The following is a 19,815-nucleotide window of genomic DNA, read 5'->3' on the forward strand; positions in this document are numbered from 1 at the left end:
TATAATTGGATTTTTAATCCAATCTGGTAATCTCCACCTTTAAATTGGAATGTTTAGACCATATACCTTTAGTGTGATTATTGATATGGTTAGGTTTAAATCTACTATTTTGCTACTCATTTCCTACTTGTTCTGTCCGTTCTTTGTTCCCTTTTTACTTTTGTACCTTTTTATGGGTTGATTATTTTGAAAATGATTCCATTGTATCTCCTTTTATTGGCTTATTGTCTACAACTCTTAGTTTTGTTATTTTAGTTGTTACTTCAGGATTTATAGTATACATCTTTAAATTGTAATCTATCTTCAAGTGATATTATAGCATTTCATGTATATCACGGGAATTTTACCAAAAGTGTGTTTCCATTTCTCCCTCCTATTGTGCTGTCATTGTCATAGATTTTACTTTATATTAGTTATAAATCCCATGCTGAATTTTTATGAGTTTTGTTTAAACATTCAAGTATCTTTAGATATTTAAATAATTAAAAATGTTTATTTTTTCATATGGTTACCTTCTCCTGTGCCTTTTATTCTTTGTATAAATCAATTTTCCCATTTGGCATCAGTTTCCTTCTGCTTGAAGGACTTCCTTAAACATTTGTTGAAGTCCAAGTCTGCTGGTGATGAATTCTTTCAGTTTTTGTATGTTTGAAGAAGTCTTTTCCATTTTCTGTAAGATATTTTGGCTGGGTATAGAATCCCAAGTTGACTTTTTTTTTTCTTTTAGTATTTTGAAAATGTTGGCTCCACTATCTTCTTGGTTACAATGTTTCTGACATAAAATATCTGCCATCCTTATCTTTTTTCTTTTGTACTTAAAGTGTGTGTTTTCCCCCCTGACTACTTTTAAGATTTTCCCCTACCTCCATGACTCTTTTGGAGAAATTTGATGATAATGTGCCTTGGAGTAGTTTTATTCATGTTTTGTGTGTGTGTGTGTGTGTTTGTGTGTGCACACACACATGTGCCTGGTGGTTGTTGAGCTTTTTGATTCTGTGGATTTATATTTTCCATCAAAATTTGAAAATTTTTTTGCCAGTATTTCTTCAAATTATCTTCTACTCTTTGGGGGCTTCAAATATATGTAACTTAAAATGCTCCCACATGTTGACAATTCTCTCTTCTTTTTTAAAAAATTTAATTCTCTTTTTTCTGAGTGTTTCATATTTTGGTAGTTTCTGTTGCTGTATCTTCAGGTATGCTAATCTTTTTTTCCTGCGATATCTAATTGGCTGTTAGTCTCATCCAAAGTGTTTTTTATCTGACAGGTTATAGTTTCATCTCTAGAACTTCTATTTTGTTCTTTCTAATGTCTTTTATGCCACTACTTAGTTTTTTGGACATAGGGGATACAGTGACACAACTGTTTCAATGTGTTTTTTTCTATTTTCTCTTCAATTAATTCTAGGGTTTCTATCAGTTTTTGGCCTATTTTGATTGATTAATTTTTCCTTATTTGGGGTTATATTTTCCTGCTAATTTGCATACCTGGTAATTTTTTATTATATGTGAAATAATGCAAATTTTACTTTCTTGGGTCTTGAAAAATTTTTTGTACTTCTATAAATATTCTTCAGCTTTATCTAAGGACAGTTATTTGAAAACAGTTTTATCCTTTTGGTTCCAGTCAGGCATGACTAGAGTAATGCTGTCTAGGGCTATTACTTCTCACTACTCGGGGAAGCCTCTTCAGTTTACTGTACTCAGTGTCCCGTGATCAAAGAGGCTTTCCTCTCATTTCTAGCTTTTTGTGACCATAAAGAACTATTACCTTTAATTCTTTAGGCTTATTCTTTCCCTAGCCTCATTTAATTTCCTTACACACATGTACAGGTCAGTACCCTGCTGATTTTTCAAGGGAAGAACTTCTGTATAGGCCTGGAATTCTCTGTGTTGTTTGGTGCTTCCCTCTCCTCTCTGATTCTTCCTCCTGTGAACGCTTTGGTGTTGTCAGACTTTCAGCTCTGTTTCTTCCACTCTGTGAGTTTCCTCACTTATTCTTCGGTTTCTGCTCACTGCCCCATCACTGGAAAATCTTTCAAGGCATTAAACTGGAACAATATTTGGTCTCACCTTGAAAATTTCACATCTCACAGGGATTACTCTCCTTTGTTGCCTCATGTCCAGTGTCTTAAAATGTTTGCTTCAAATATTTTGTCCATTTTTAATTATTTCAGGTGGGATAGTAAATCTGGTTCATTATGCCATCTTGACAGGAAATGGAGTTTCTGACTCATAGTAATTTTTATATTACAAGAAAAATGTTTTAAATGCTTACTTTTTCACTTTTTATTAAGAAGGCTAATTACCTCTCTGCCTCAATTCCCTCATCTAAAAATTAGAATTATAGTTGTGCCTACTTTCGGAGTGGCTGATAAATTTTACTGATGTAATGGTATAAATCACTGAATAGACACATTGCAAACACCCAATAAATTACTTATTTTATCACTATTTTATATTACAAATCACATGAAACAGTCTTTCATTTGTAAATGCTGTCTGTCCACTTATATTGAATTCAATTTCTATTTCTATTAAACAAGCTGAATATTTGCGTTATGTGCAAGCAAAGAGTGAAGTGGATCTACTGAATGAGAGAGAAGAATCATACATCTTGAAAGACAGGTGGTAACTGTGAATATAGTTAGTTGGGTAAAATTTCTTGGGAGAAATTGTATTAAGGACACTTACATGGTGCTCAAAATGTTCCTCTGAGAGTGAAATTCCCTATCCGGAGAAAAGATTCCCAGTAACAATTTGCCAAGTCATTTATTTATGACTTGGATCCTCTCGGTACCCTCCTGTATAAAATCTCCTGTCAAGGAAGACACACATTTATTTCCATCTTTCTCAGTAAAAGTTGGGCTGTTAAACCAGCAGCATGGGATTTTAACATATCTCTATGGTATCTTACTCATCAGTTTTTTTTAGGCATGTGTCACTAAAACTACCCACTGGAACACATTTCACCGTTCCCTAAGGTGAAATGTAGAAGCTACTTAACAGTAAATACTTTATGTCTTATGAACTTTTGGCAAGGAAGGTAATTAGTAACTTGGTATTTAAAATGTCCAAGGAAATTTATGTTATATAAATTCTTAACACAGTTATAACATATTTGACAGAGTTTAATGGAAACAATATTAGGCATATTTCAAATCATCATAGAATTCAGATTATCTACAGAAAATGTTGCCTAGTGTATGGTGTGTTCAGCTCTGCTGTGTCTCTACAGAATATTGAGAAAGGGAAGAAGGAGCGATTTTTTAAACTCAAAATTAAAACAGAAATTTAAGCATATTTTTATATTAAAGAATACTTTGCTTAATGTACATTTTTAAAAACAGCAAAATATAAAACATAGAAATAAATTTCTACCTTGGATCTAACTAGAGAGCTCTTTTGCCTTCTCTACTTTTCTTGGATTCAGTAAAAATAACAACCATTTCCGCATAGATTTTATGGGTACTGAACTGCATTTTCTCAAGAAAACATTATTTTCTTAGTAAATTCGCCTTTATATATGTATTTACTTCTAACAAAAAGAATCATAGTATTGTTTTATCAAAAAGTAAGCATAGATGATATTTATTTTAGGATACCCACTAAAGTAATACATAGCCTAGTCTAGTCTAGTATAGTTCAGAAATAGTTTAGTAAACCCTTATTTTTCCAATAACCCAACTGTATTGGGTCAGGACCAAGTCATATCTGCCTTCTTTACAATTTCTTCTGTGTTGAGCAATTCAATAGAAATATCACTTTTTAGGGTCTTAATGAGTAATTGTCTTGGGGGAGTGGCCTTTGACAGAAAATATTCAGTTTCTTAGCACATGTAATGTGAAAAATTAGGGTATTTCAGATTATAAGTAAAAGCTGGAAATGTCTTTTCAAAAATTATTTTTGTTTTGCAAATGCTATGACTAGTGTCTTGAACCCAGTAGATGAAAATATCTAATAAGATATCAGAGGTATTATTTGTTGATTATGTACTATGTGGTAGGAACTAGATCAAGCACTTTACGGATATTATTTCAATGACTTCTTCCAACAAGCTTATAAGGTATTATTATCCTCATTTCACAGATAAGGAAACTGAGGTTGAATGGTTAAGAATATTGGCCAAGTAGCACAGAAAGAATTCTAATAATATTGTCTGATTTCACATATAGATTATGTTAGTGACTGTTTCATAGCACTTATGTTTACAAATGGCTTCCAGAAATTGTTCAGGTAGTATTCGTACTTAAATAGTAAATCAAATTAATCTACCATTCTATTGGTCTTAAAATCATTTTTCTTTGCATCCCAAATTACCATTGTAAAGTTTTCAGGGAAGATAGAATCCACATATTTTCAGCCTTTGTTTTGGCAGAAAAAAATAGGAGTTAAAAATTTGCAATTTGTTCAAAGTGCAAATATGCTGTGGCATTTTGGCATTATTCCAAGGGCACAGATTTAACTTGGAATTTTGGTGGCTGTTACTGGGAATGTACTGTTTATCAAATTCAGTGTTAACTGCACAGTTGAAGATTTTCTAGCAAAACTTTCTCTTTTTAACACTGAAAAAAATTCACCAAATTCTAAGGATTGATAAGTAAAATCCATAAGGAGCTGCAGTCTTTAATGAACAAATCTTCTATTAAAAAGTAATCAGTCAGGTCATTCCACAGAGAGCTTGCATAATCGGGATTTGGATGATCTTGGGCTCTCTACTAAAAGCTCACGGCCTCACATCTTAATGGAAATAAGAGAAGATGAAGTTTATAGCCCTTCACTTATGTAATGAGTGAAATAACCAGCAAGCAAACACCTGTCAGATGGTAGTAGGTGCTCCTGAGAGGTATGACAGGTAATAATTTAATCAGATGCATTGGTAATTCTATGACCTGAAAGGGATATTGTGTTTCCAAAGCCCAGAATTTTCTTTCTTCTAGATAATGCTGTGTCCTTGTGTACAAAATGACTTAAAATGAAACATTAGAATGTAGAATATATTTTAGCCTAAAATGTTCTTTAGTTCTTCATTGCTTTCAGGAATTTCTCCCTCCTTTGTGCTTCTAAATTGTTAATCCATGCAGATCATACTAAGCATTATTTCCTTTCATATATTAGAACAAATATCTGATTAAGAGGTTATTGACATTAGGAATCACAATTCTCCTAGCCAACCACACAGCGGGATTCAAAGCTTGTTCATTTAATGAATTGTTGTTTAGTGAAAGTACATGATTGTGTTCTCATAAGACACTTTGTTCCCTTTATTATTCAACAGAAGACAAAAAAAAAAAAAAAACTACAAAATTTCAAGGACAATTTTTTGCCCTTTTAGCTTATTATGCTCCCTGGAACATACATAGAAAGAGGTGCATTTGTTTCTCACAGGTGGATGAGAATTCATTTTATCTTCTTGAGCCAAGGCCCTGAAGAATCTGATTTTCACCTTTTATTTGACTGGGTGACTGATTCTCTTTTCTTTACAAGTTGGTGCTGCCTATACCTTCATTCAGCATTTTTTTTCCCCTTTTACCTGTATTTTTGGGATTTTACTCCCCCTGCTGGCCTCTGGCATGCATTAGAGTTGACTCTTTTCCAACGACTCCTGTTTCTGTCTGTTTCTCTTCAAGGAGCCGCATGTATAGTACATTTATGTTCCAAACACAGCAGAAACGACATGAGTTTAAAGGTAGGTATTTTAAGTTTTCAGGAACTCATTTTTCTCAATTTTTTCTAGAGAGACTAAAGTAGACCAATGCTAATTTAGAAAATATAGAAACAACATTCTGAATTTTTGAATGCTAAATGTAATTGGTTTAATTACAGATCATTTTGCTAAAGAAAAGTTATGTTATGGCCCATAATGAAGAAAGTTTCTTTCTCCTTCCTAGGATAGCAGTAATTGTGCTGCAAAAAACCCAAAATGTTTCTATTTTAAAAATGTCTTATGAATTATAAAACCTTTGAAATTGATGGCTTGATGTTGCAGATAAATTGAACTAGATTTCAAAGTACAGTTAACTTGACAGTGCTTTGAAACAAGGGTCACTCATTGTCATTACATCTTTATGACTATTTTTATGAGAGAATTTGGATAATTTAACTCTCAAAAATTGTCACATGCTGTTTTAGCTTTTGTAGTTTTGCTTTTGTTAGATGTCACAACCGCTATTAACACAACTTGCATTTTTTCCTTTCATTTATGTTGAACTAAAAGATATATGTGAATATTTTCTGGGAATTATTTACCTTAGATTGAAGAGGAGAGTTGCAGTTTTTACATTGTTCTTTTGCTGTCATTAAAAGAAAAAAAATCATCTGACCAGGAAATAGTATTTTTAGTAAATATACTCTCAGAATCTTCTCCTTCCCATCTGAAAATAAGATGTTTTTGCTTTTTGATAAGGTAATGGTCAATGGGATCGAAAGACACTTTTTTCTTCCACAATTACAATAGACACTGGTATGGTTTATTGATGATTCTCATCAGTTATATTTCACCAAAATCTCATAGCAACAGGAGAAAATTTCCCATTGTTTGGTTGGGAGCCAGAAGCTGAGAGTGCAGGTCATTTTTCTTCATCTGAGGAAAGTGGAATAGCCAATCCACCACTTTGTTTTCTAGGTCTAAAATGATCTGTTCAGTCTTTCCTAATTCATGGGTGTGGCATTCATAGGAGAGGCTGGCGGCACAAAGGAAATAAGACATCTATGCATCAATTTCTTTATATTGTACCATGGGATGGGGGTTTTAAAAGTTGTTCATATTTGTTTTCTGCACCATACTGAATGAATATTTCACAGTAACTCTTTTTAGAACACAATACTTGGTGAAAAATAAAATTCACCGTATTAATGTAACATTTTCCAATCCTAGTTACCAGCACTGCAAAGTACACACCACTCAACAATTGCTAGAATATGTAGCTATGTGTATTTTTAAAGCATATTATAAATTTTCCCACTCTTAGCAGAAAGTGAAGGAAAATGAGCACTTCATTAGCAACACTCTTAGTTGTGCAGCCAAGAAATAAAACATGAAGTAAGGTTTCTAGATACTATGGGAACCCCATTATGACTCCCTGGGGAGGCTTAGGGGAGGATGTTTTTCATAATGAGTCCATGCAGAAAGTTTTAATACTAGAACATCCTTACTTAGACATTTGCTTAGATTTCTACCACTAATGGGAAAACAAAACTAACAAAAACAACAACTCCCATGTAAATTGTGTTTATTCCTATTCAGTTAAACAAAGGGATCTTAGACCAAGTTGATAAACTGCAACATGTTCTTATTTATTTTATTTTATCTTACGTTATTTTATTTTATTTTTTAGACAGAGTCTCAGTCTGTTGCCCAAGCTGGAATGCAATCTCGGCTCACTGTAACCTCTGCCTCCCAGATTTAAGTGATTCTCCTGCTTCAGGCTCCCGAGTAGCTGGACTACAAGGTGTATGCCACCACGCCCGGCTAATTTTTTGTATTTTTAGTAGAGATGGGGTTCTCAAACTCCTGACCTCAGATGATCCACCCACCTCGGCCTCCCCAAGTGCTGGGATAACAGGCACGAGCCACTGCACCTGGCCGGCAGTATGTTTTTAATCTGTATCTCAGTGCCCTCTGTTTTTACAAAGTAGATGATAAGTATTGAGTTTTGAAATAGATAAAGGGTTGACAGTCATAGATTCTTGCTTTTAATTTTAAGAGAGAAGTAGGTAGCAAATTTTGGAGTTGAAAGACGGATCATGCAGTAACTAGCAACTGTTTCTCAAAATTCCCTCATCATTAGGATCTCTTGAATTGCTGGTTTAAAATATCAGTTTCTAGGCTGCTCCACAAAATATTTTGGGTCCTGCAGTTGGACATGAAAAGCACAAGCACCCCAGGTAATTCTTATGATCAGGAGAATTTGGGAAACATTTATCTGATTTAATTAATTATAGAGGCAATGTCAGCGATTAAGAGGTAAGATATGGAGTATAGATTCGTATGTTCATTTAGGAAATGCTTAGCTATCAACACTTATTGAGCATTTATACTATGGACCAGATTTGAGCACACTTACTACATGTGTGATTTTTGAACTTGTCTTTTACCCTTTCTGAATCTCAGTTTCTCATTTAAAAAATGAGGATAATACCTTACTCATGGATTTTTGGGAAGGTTCAATTAGATATGCCCCAAGAAATGCTTAATTTTTCTGAAAAATACCACTGTTTTTAGGCATCTATTATACTGTAGGGGTCATAATTTAATTATTTCTATTAGGTATTTTTACTATACACCAAGATTTCATTATGCAATCACACATCTGTTGTTCTGAGCTGTGGTTCTTACTGGCATCTTTTGGAGATGTATTTAGAGGTAAAGAATCCTTTAACAACTTTTAGGATCCAAAATCTCCTAACACAAACTTTCTCCTTCTGCCTTCTCTTTAGCCCTTTTAAAATTGGTGTATTTCCTACTTAAACTCACATATTTCAACTTCTTGCAACACTATTAAAATTACAGCTACTATTTGTTAAGCACTTACTGTAATCCAGGCACAGTCCTGGATGCTGCTTGTATTATTTAATCTTCACAGTAGTAGTGCAGTTTAGGTATTATGACTATTTAAATGGAGTCTGAGAACACAGAACTCAGTAATTGAGACAGCATCTTATAGGTATGATGCTGTGAAGAACAGAAATTATTTTAATACCTGTATATCTGTCTTCAAGCCCAAGTTCTGTCCACTATAAGCTATTCCCATAACTTTAATACAGTCATTTTCCCAATATGAGAACATGAATTTCTCCCATTGGCTTCCTAATGGTTTTCTGTCACTCAGAGTAAAATTCAGCTTCTTTACTTACTAAGGCCTACAAAGCACTGCACCGTATGTCTTTCATGTTCTAAGGCTTTTGCATTTGTTGGTCCCTGTGCTTGAAACTGTCTTGCCTTAGGTAAGCTGTGCACCTCTCCCTGACCTCATTAGAGATGTCTTTCCAGATGACCTCCCATACTTGAGAACATCTACACACACACACACACACACACACACACACACACACACACACACACACACACACAGATATTGCCCTTCCTCCTTGCTGGCTTATTTTTTCTCTATAGCAGTGATCAACAGCTAACATCTTAACATCTAATATAGTTTTCTTTATTTTTTCTTTCTCCCAGTATAATGTTAGTGCCTGAGAATGGTAGCTTAATGTTATCTGCTTTATCCCCACTGCCTAGCACATAGCAGGGATGCAATAAATATTTGATTCTCAAACATTGAATTGGGGGACATATCTGATATTCTTTATGTTAGTAATTTTATAATTTTCACAGCATTAGAACTTCATATGTGATATCTTGGTGGTTACCCTAATATTGTCTTTGTTAAGTATACTTTTCTAAACAAAGTTCCTGACAAAAAAAAAAATGTGGTGTTGTGTTTTACTTTTCACGCCAACAGGAATAGCACTATGCAGAAAAAATATGTCTTTCTATGTAGAATATTTAGAATAAAAGGTTTTTGGAAAGATCCCTTACTCAAATAATGAAGTGGCTATTCAATATTAATACTTAGTATATTTCAGTTGTTCTTTGCTTTGGAAATTAGGGCTTTGGAACATATGTGAGAATTAGGTATTACTTCAGTATTAGGAGGTCTTCTACTTGCTGACAGAATACTTCGTTTGTGCCAGTTCTGGCCATCATTCATTATTATTAATAGTAGTATATAAGCATGGTAATGCTAATTCAATAGGTTTTCCAGGTTTTTTCTCCCTCTTGTTATTATCTTTTATTTTGAAGTTTGCCTTTATTTCAAGTTGTATTTGTGGGTATTCAGAATTATTGTACCTGTGTATAACTCAGTGGTTCAAAAGTCATTAGTCTTTAATAAATTAGAATTTATTTTAAAAATTCAAGATCTGAAAACATCATTTCATTGACTCTCAAGTAATGTTAATGCCAAGTTTTGAAAAGCAATTTTTCTTTTTGGAGGCAGTAATTTTGAGTAATTGGATTCCATGAAAAAAATGGATTCAGGAGCTAATTGTGTACCAGGTTTACTGGCATTTGTGCAAAACAACATTTAGCAACTGTCAGTGACAATACTCATCTAATTTCTCTTTATCACCAGCTGGTCAATCACGTATCTTCATCAATACAAGTATTTTAATTTCCTCTTTCAGGTATCCTCTTTGTGTGTTTTCTTCCTTCTCACTCTCCCTTCTCTCCTTATTTTAAGCTACTTTAGAAAATAGTAATACTTTACTGATGTGTAAGATGCAAATCACTTTGGAAGTGAGAAGGTGGATATTTATACATTTGTTCTATGACGGGGTTTCTAAGTCTGTCCCACTGGGAATGGTTAGTACATTCCATAGCTGTAAGGGAAAAATCCACTTTTCCCAGAAATAAAGGTCAAGAGACATGGAACAACTCTTTTATTATTTGCTTTCAAAACAGAGGGAATATGATTTATGTCGAATATAAGCTTATGTCATAGCTGTGCAGGTGCTGCCGTGAAGCTGTGACCCCTGTCTAATCCCCATAACGACACTGGGCATTGACCACATTTGCTTTGTAGTTACTGAGCTGCTTTCCCAGGGGCCTTCTAGTTTCTGAACCCAGCCGCTGGGTAGCTGGTCGACCCGTGCTTGGTGCAAGAACATTGTTTTGTAAGTGCAACCTGAAATACATTTTATAACCCCTGCCTAAGTTAAATGACTGTAGGTCTGTGACGGAGCCTCTGTGATTGAATCAAAGTCTCCTCTTAACTCCTTTTTTTCCTTCATGAATTTAGTAGTCGGCTGTAAATAGTTTTTTCTGCTTTATTTTTTATTGCGTTAAACATAATCACAATGATTTATTTCAAAAACACTAAACAGTTGCTTGATATTTACAAGATAAAATGTAATACTGACTTTAATACATCATTGCCTGATTTACTTATATAATTTTTATTTATCGTTGTAAGATAGTTAACATTTTTCCATGTTGCTTCAATATTTTTCCCCTTAAAGATTAATGACTTGGTAAAATTTGCAGTAATCACACAAAAAATTTGTTTTCCAATTTCATTCTGTCTTCCAACATTTTGATCTCCCAGAGTTTTAATATTTTTTAAGTTTCCTATGTGTTATGAATTGTAAAATAAAACAAAAATCCCCCAAAACAAAAAAAGACAGCTATATTAAAAGTATCAACTTTATTTTAAATCTTATTAATGCTTTTTATAATGGGAGGGAAGATATATATATTTAAATGACCATGTAAAGCAAAGTGAGGAAGTTAGGAACCAGGACGCTGAAGCTAAACTGAAGTTGAATCTCAGCTCTATCATGTCCCAGCTCTGTGATTTTGTTAATCTCTCAAAATCTGCCTCATCTGTAAAAAAAGGTGAATGATAGTAAAACTATCTGTTGCATAGCTGTTGTGATTATTAAATGAGTTAGCATTTGCAAAGCCCTACATAAATATTTGCTGTGTAGATAATGTTTAATTTTGTCAAGAACTTTTAAAAGATGTGTTTTGAGTCATTCATACAGGCACACACACAGGTTATTACAATTTTATCAAGAAATTATTAGCCTTGTCTTAAATCTCAAAAAATTTGAATTGACGGTGAATATGTGGAAAGTGACAATATACAAGGTTATCCACTATTGGAAGGTGTGTGTGGAACAGAACAGAACTAGATCACATAGCTGTGGAGAACAAAAGCTCAAGAAGAAAAAAATTCAAAATGAGTTTATATTTTTCTCACAATAACTGTGGGCACCCTTCAAGCTTCAGTTAAGTGATGACAACATAATTAGACAGTAAAATATTCTGTTTCTGAACTGTTCTTTGTGTGACCTTCAGTTATCTCTGAGGATCCTCAGGTTTCTTAAGGTTTCCTTAGGCTGTCTGTTTAATCTGATTTTTCTGAAAAATGTACATGAATAAATAGGCCCTCCAACCAAAAATATTAATATTTAACATTTAGCCAAAGAGGTAGCAAATATTATTTTCAAACAAAATGAAGTAAGATAGAAGAGCTGAGACAATATAATATTCTGCTTAGAGGGAAACAGTAGGTTGCCACTGATTTTTAGTCCTGTGTTTTGAAAACTATTTGAGATAGAAGGACTAAAATTGCAATGAAGATTACTGCAACACAGTTACTTGGTCCTCCTATCATTAATTGATTAAAGGTAATTGCCAGGGAGTCACCTCTGGAGGGCAGTGCAGTCTTATATTTGTTGCAGGAGCTCCAGGTACCTTTAAATTTTCCAGAAGTTCATTTCAAAGATTCTTGGCCTTGTGAGATGTGAGTCATTCCCCGTTTTAAATACTCAAAGGGAACGTAAAGGTGAAAACAAACTCTTTTTCGTTATGATGGTTAGCATGCTAGATTCAGGGAAAATGACGGGAAATAGGACTTACCATATAGAGTTAGTGAATCTCGGTGTGCAAATAAGGAGCTGGCTGATGTTTGTTTTTTTCCCCCCTTTTCCCCACTTTGGTTCAGATACTTGTGAACCTCCATTTCATGATCCTTGTTTTTGTCTCTGTCTTACTCTAAAATACAAATCTGTATCTTCTAAGAAAATCTTTTAACAGCCTCACCATATAGGGTGTTGCAGAAGGTCAGCTCGGCGGCCAGCAAAATATCTTCCAGTACCTTAACAAATCAGCAAAATATTTTGAGAAATGCTTTACTTTTATGAACAAATACCCTGCTAGTTATTGGATTTGTCATAGCATCTAAGGTTTCTCTCATAACCATACTGACCTTCATGTGCTATTGTATTACAAAACCAACTCTTTATGTAATCAAACCTAAGGAAGAATGCTTAATTAGCTATACATGACCCTGTGTTATGATACAGGCATACAAAAGTTATTTTCTTCAGCACTATCTAGCTATTGTACAAAGAAACTTCTTTATAAAGTAAGACATGGGATATTTGATGTCTCAGGAGTAAAGTAATATTGGGATTTTTTTTTTTCCTCTGCAAGCTGTTTGAGAGCTTTCAGCAGGGGGATACCGTATTTAAAGGTAGCCTAAGATCTCATAACTCCATGTGTCACAAAAACTGTGTAGGTTATGAAAGACTTTTCTCGTGAGCAAAACAACTGTGCTTTTTAGCTCTAAATCATGACATAGTCTTGTTATACCACAAAGAATTAAAGAATGTTAAGTAAATGACTTTCTTCCCTCCCTCTGTGCCTCTGAGGATAGTTATTAATGCCGATTCTTGCTGCTGAGTGATCCTGAAGCTACTGTGGCAACCTTTTTATTCCCTGAGTGCAAATGAATCCTCTATGAGGTAATTGAAGGAAATTGATGACATTATTTGCTGTATCTTGGGTATCAACAGCATATAAATGAAAAACACAGCAGAATGCCTGGCCTGTGTTACCACATTGACCTACACATTTGGATCTGAAAGATCTCGAGCTATTTTCTGCCTAAGCAGACTTTGCACCTTTGTGTTTTATAGTGAAGTAGCAGGTACACAACTTTTTAAAATCATGAACTCCTAGCATTGGATTACCACCACCTGGTGTAAGGGATAGGTTTTATAGAAACACAAAGAGCATGGACTTATTCTTTTCATTTTTGTTCTTCTTTGCCAATTTTAATGTTATCTTCACAATCTGAACAGTGTGACCTGTTTCACCTTCTTTTATTTTGAATGTTAGTGTATGCACATTCTAAGCCAAGGGTGGCTTTACCCTTTAAGTTAAATTAAACCATTTGGGACTTAGCAAATTCTGGGTTGTATGTTTTAAGGTGAAAAAAAAGCACTAAAAAGAAAATTTAAAAGAAATTTTATCATCATATAGGGTGTGGATGAATGATTCAAATAGAAAACCTATTTTAAATCAGCCCTACTGAATGAACTATACTAAAAGGACATTTATTTACCTAGTTAGGGAAAAAAGTCACTTTAAATATGGTCTCTAGTTACTTTTCTTCCCATTTATTACATTTGCCACTTCATTGTGACCTTACTATGACCTTGTAGTTTATGGGCTAAAGGTAACCATTATGCAATAATGAAAATATGCAGGCCAGTCTTTACCACCTTGAAAAAATTGGTTTCTTATATTTTGTTTAAATTAACACACTTTGCTATTTATAAAGCTCTGCTCTACGGTGCTTGAAAGAGGAGAGAAGAATTAATCGCAACTAATGTGCAGATTTAGGCTTTTAGAGACTGTGTTTAGTGGAGGTGAGTCAGCAGGCCTTGTTATATTAATTATAGTGGTTTGATTCTCTACTGGTTTTGATTCACAGAGATATGCGCTGTACGTAAGAATTAAAGCATCAATTGCTTAGGAGAAAAAGGAACTTAAAAATCAAACCATTAATACCTATCTTTGCTTTCTTCTTTTGTCTAATTTGTTTTATTTTAGTTATCCAGGCCCAGATTTCCTCCACTTTCCCTTTGCCTTGATCCCAAAACCTGACCTCTGTGAAAAAGGCAATTCATCAATTGGATGTGGTGAGGGAAATGCCCTTCAGAAGGATCTAAAACAGGCAATACAAAAAGCTTTAGACAGTCAACACATCGGGGCACGTAAGCTCTGATGTGACTTGTTATCTCTGAGACCAGTGTTTGCATTCTTCCTGGTTTGTTCCTTAGGCTTGGAAATGCACTGAAACCACAGCTGGTCTTGAAGAGCCATAGAGGATGTGATACAAGGAATGATAAATTAATAATTACAGATCCTCAATCTGCTTATTGTCAGTCATTTTTTCTACCACCAGTTACAAATCCAGTCTTTATTCTCAAACAGAAGTGATGATAATTATCCTTGGTAAAATAACTTTCACATAATGTTGATTGCAGACAGTCACCAAGGGCTATGCTCCAAGTACACTTCTCACCATTTTTATACATGAAATAAAAACTCTTATTATCTCCACTTGTCCATGAGGAAACCAATGTACAGAGAAATTAAGTACCCTTCTCAGGGTTACACAGAAATTCAAGAGCTGGATTTTTACCACAAAGGATGGTTTAGAGCCTCTGGTCTTAACCTTCCAAGAGTCTGGGTTCTTGGGAATCTTCATTTTCAACATAGGCTCTTTATACTACCAGAACTAGCATGTTCTTCAGATATTCAAAACGGAGACTTTTAATAAGTTCATTATTAAAGAAGTGAATAATTTAGGATTAAAAAAATTCTGTTAAAAATGGGTTGCTCATAATTAATGAAGGCAGATATTTAAACCATGAATCCTTTATAAAACCTTGGGATGTGAAAGCTTATTTTGAAATGGACTGTTGGACTGCATGCTAAAAGTATACCCAGAGTGAATTTTCAGAGACATTAGAGACAAATTTAACATCACCCTCAAATCTGTGGAAGGTTAAATATACAGAGTGTGAGACATTGAGAATTAGGCATTTACAGGTACTTTTCCCCAGAGTTTGGTTTGGTGAGGGATTTAACCCCCATTTCGTGACACTGATCAAGGCAGGACATTTTGAAGGAAAAGCACTACAAAAAGGAGGAATTGCCTTGTCATGTTATGAAGCATTTAATTCTAAACTTCTCTGTTTTAAAAACAAAAGAGGCCTATCTATAGATAAACAAAGTAGACTCGTGATTTCCAAGGGCTGGGGCAGGAATGGGTGGGTATTAGCCATAAACTGGCTAGAGGGATCTTACTGCAAGCGATTGAAATGTTCCAAAATTGGATTATAGTGATCATTGTACAATCTGGTTTAAATGAACTTTGAAATCATTGAATTGTACCCTTTAAATGACCAAATTTATGGTATCTAAATATACCTTAGTAAAGTCATTTTTAAAAATGCATGTAAAAAAACTAAAAAAGAAAAAAAGGAAGATCCAGAATTGGGTCTTCAGACAGAATCATTATTTGCATCAAATTCAGAATTTCCCGTACATGATATTAATTTACTTCTCTAATTTGAAGTATGACACTAAATGTAACACGTTAGGTCATACATTTGGCAAAGACAAATTCTTCCTGCCTGTACTTTTTCCTTTCAGTTTTTAATAGGTGGCGCCATTATTCTTTGTAGCCTCTAGAGGGCAGCACATAGGTTTTTTTTTTTTTTTTTTTTTTTTTTTAAAGACAACAAACTTGTAACTCCCAAGCATCAAGAATGCCCAGTTGTTTCAGATGAACTCTCCAATTTTAGTTCATCCTGACGACCTCACAGTGGAGGACCTTCCTATAGTGACTCCTGCGAATGAATCCTCCCTTCCTTCCTGTTAGTTGCTCCCTTTCACCTCTGGCTATTTAATGTCCTTGAAAGATCTTTCAGCTCTCTCTACAGGGGAACATAGGAGTAATTTCAGTTGAAACTTTCACAACCTTTTTCCTTTAGAGAGCTTGATTTTTAGGTAAAGACAATAGTCAGTTAATGAATAAAACCGGTATTTGCACATGGGGGAGGGTTGATGCCCAGGAGATTGTCATAAGAATTCCTGACACAAGTTCTTCAGATCGCATCGGAAGAATCCGGCTATGCCAAAAGATAAATGTAGAGTTCTCCTCAATGTATGAATAACTAGGGATGCAGGATTTAAAATCTATAAGAATTTTTAAAGTTGTAAGACATAAGCATCCTGGTGTGTTTTTTGATTGTTGTTCTTTTCATTTAATTATTTATTATTAGTTTATGTACAGTAGAAGCCAACAAATAAGGGTTGGAAAGGTAAATTAACTAGCATTAAGGTATATACTGAAAGTCATTTTAAGAAATGCCTTACCTCTTCTCATCCCCACGATTAATGGCATTTTCCCTATGATCATTGAATTTTAAAAATACCTGGAAATTTATACCATTCTAGGATCTTATAGAATCTTATAGGATTTATTGGAGTTGATTTTAGTGTAGGAGCCTGAAACAGTTTTAGGTCCCCCTCACTATGTCTTATTGTTACTTCGTTTCTGACATTCTTCCTATATATCCAATCTAATATATATGTGAAAAAGGGTAGACATCAATCAGTATTAAGAAACAATGAGAAATGCCTGAACAGACCTTTAAGCTGTGATTTAAAAAAATCGTATTTGGGTGATCCTAGCAGTTAAATTGACTTTTTCTTTCCTTCTGTCGTCTCTGTTCTCCTTTTTTTTCCTCAGTAAACTTTGATTGCTTGCTAATTGTGTGCTAGGCCTTGTTTGGTTGTTTATTGAGAGAAAGAAATAAAGGAGAAGGGAGAGAACACAAACACAATTTCTGCCCTTGTGGAATTATAGCCAGTATAGGAGACAGACAAAACAGTATATAAACAAAAAATAACAATACATAATTACAGATTGAAATCAATTCTAAGAAAAAAAAGGTCAGTAAGTATATATAACCTTTGGGGCCAACTTTAGGCTAGAGAGTTAGGAAAGAATTTCTGAGGAGGTGAACTTAGGTGGCCCTACCACATAAAGGATTGGGCAAAGGGTTATCCAGGCAGAGGAACAGAGTATGAGAAGGCCCTGAGTCAGGAAGGAGCATGGCTTGTTGCAGAAACTGAACTAGTGTCTCAGTGTTTCACTGTGAATCAAGAAGTAAGCTAGGATGTGGCTTGGGGAGGTAACTGGCCAGGACTGAAAGATCTTTGTGAGGAGCTTGGATTTGTTTCTAGGTTGAGTGATGCCTCCAGAGGGCAAAAGAAAAACAGCAACATTATCTGATTTTGCTTTTGATAGGATTATTCTGGTTTCTCTATGGAGATTGGATTGGAGAGGGGCTCATATGAATGTGGCAGAAGTTTAGAAGGTGTAGCTGGGTGTGGTGGTGGGCACCTGTAATCCCAGCTACTCGGGAGGCTGACGCAGGAGCATCACTTGAACCCCGGAGGCAGAGGTTGCAGTGAGCTGAGATGGTGCCATGCATTCCAGCCTGGGCAACAGAGAGATACTCCATCTCAAAAACAAAGCAAAACAAAACAACAACAAAGAAGTTTAGAAGGTGGTTGTGATCTAGACAAAAATGCTCTTGCAACTGAGTTTCACCTGCAATTTAGGAATGGGAAGTAATGTGTTGAGTCCACTGATGTTGGGAGCACAAACACTTATGTAGGAGGTAGAAGAAACAGTTTTTTTTCCTATAAAGTTATAAATAGCTTTTAGCTTATTAGGTGTGGCTATGTTGAGACAGTAGTTAATGATTAGTGGGATATTTAAAAGTGATTTTGGAAACATGAATATCTTGTGATTTTTATTTTATGCAAACTGGCATTGATTTTAAAAGCTGAGGCAATTTAAGCAACTTCGAATGAGTGTTTTCTCTCTGAGGGTTGGAATTTGGAAAAAATTGAAATATGGGAGCAGATGAGAACATGAAGAACTTGATAAGTATACCTACATATCCTTTGATATCATTGTTAGGAACTTATCTTTTAATCGAATGCATGGTGCCATAGGTTATTCCTTCTCTATATCACTTAGTACTTAAGAACACAAAACTAGACATTAGTAGAATTTACAGATACACATTTGATTCCTGGCTTTACCACTTACTCTAGCTATAACTTTAGACACCTGTCCCCTCACTGATATTTCTGAACTGGAAAATTGAGGTATAATAACCACGTTAGAAGAATGTGGTGAGGATTATGTGAAAAAATTTATGCAAAGTACCTGTCACATAGTCAGTAGTATTCAATTAATACCAGATTAGGTGATTTGCCATGATTTGCCCAAGGACAACAGCTAATAAATCGTAGGACTAATATTTCAACCCAGAAGGCCTTATGCTAAAACCTGCACTGTTCATCACTGCCCAGTACTTCTTTCTTAAATTGGGGCAGTGAGGCCGGGCACAGTGGCTCACGCCTGTAATCCCAGCACTTTGGGAGGCTGAGACAGGCAGATTACATGATGTCAGGAGTTCAATATCGGCCCAGACAACATGGCAAAACCCCATCTCTACTAGAAATACAAAAGGTAGCCGGGCGTGGTGGTGCACACCCAGCAACTTGGGAGGCTGAGGCAGGAGAATCACTTGAACCTGGGAGGCAGAGGTTGCAGTGAGCCAATATCGCACCATTGCACTCCAGCCCGGGCAACGGAGTGAGACTCTGTCTAAAATAAAATAAAATAAATTAAATAGTAAATTGTGGCAGTGAAGGGACAAGGAGGGAAGGATATTTGCTGTTGTCCCAAACTATCTTCTTACTTCTTTTCTTCCACTAACCTGCTTTTCCTCAACTCTCATTCACATTTTCTAAAACTTGAGAATGAAAAATTCAAAATTGCATAAAAGTAGAGCAAATAGTACAATGAACTTGCATGTAACTGTAGTCCCCAGCACCTGCTTTGTGTCTCCAGGGACCCAGCAAGGTTGCTTTGGTGATTTTTTTTGTTGAGATGGAATCTCATTCTGTCACCCAGGCTGGAGTGCAGTGGCACACTCTCAGCTCACTGTAACCTCTGCCTCATGAGTTCAAGCAATTCTCCTGCCTCAGCCTCCCGAGTAGCTGGGACCACAGGCACGCACCACCGTGCCCAGCTAACTTTTGTATTTTTAGTAGAGACAGGGTTTCACCATGTTGGGCAGGGTAGTCTTGAACTCCTGACCTCAGGTGATCCGCCCACCTCGGCCTCCCAAAGTGCTGAGAATACAGGTGTGAGCCACCGTGCCTGGCCACTTCGGTGATTTTCTAACCACACTGAAGGGCATTTTCTTAACCCTCATTTTCCTCTGCAGTTAGGGCTCCTGCTGACACCACCTTCTGCTCTGCCTTAGCATTGCCACAGGACACGGTTACCTCACCTTCCACCCTCCGATTCTCCTCTCTAAACCCCTCACTTCTTGCTCTTCTGCTCTTCTTGTTCTAGATTG

The 19,815-nt window shown here is 35.4% G+C and overlaps 1 protein-coding gene across 8 annotated transcripts in view, besides 1 other annotated feature; it reads left to right on the forward strand.

Annotated features, from left to right (window-relative positions):
* Positions 1-19,815, forward strand: part of HDAC9 (histone deacetylase 9) — a 915,592-nt gene that overhangs the window by 253,465 nt on the left and 642,312 nt on the right. The gene's annotated exons all lie outside the window — the stretch shown is intronic.
* Positions 17,417-17,711: a silencer, noted in NCBI's record as "tiled region #1729; HepG2 Repressive non-DNase unmatched - State 13:Ctcf, and K562 Repressive non-DNase unmatched - State 13:Ctcf". NCBI's record gives its function as "represses a minimal TATA promoter and a strong SV40 promoter by Sharpr-MPRA in HepG2 and K562 cells {active_cell/tissue: HepG2 | K562}" and the evidence as "EXISTENCE:reporter gene assay evidence [ECO:0000049][PMID:27701403]".

The sequence above is a fragment of the Homo sapiens genome, chromosome 7, assembly GCF_000001405.40.
Source record: "Homo sapiens chromosome 7, GRCh38.p14 Primary Assembly".
Classification (NCBI taxonomy): Eukaryota; Metazoa; Chordata; class Mammalia; order Primates; family Hominidae; genus Homo; species Homo sapiens.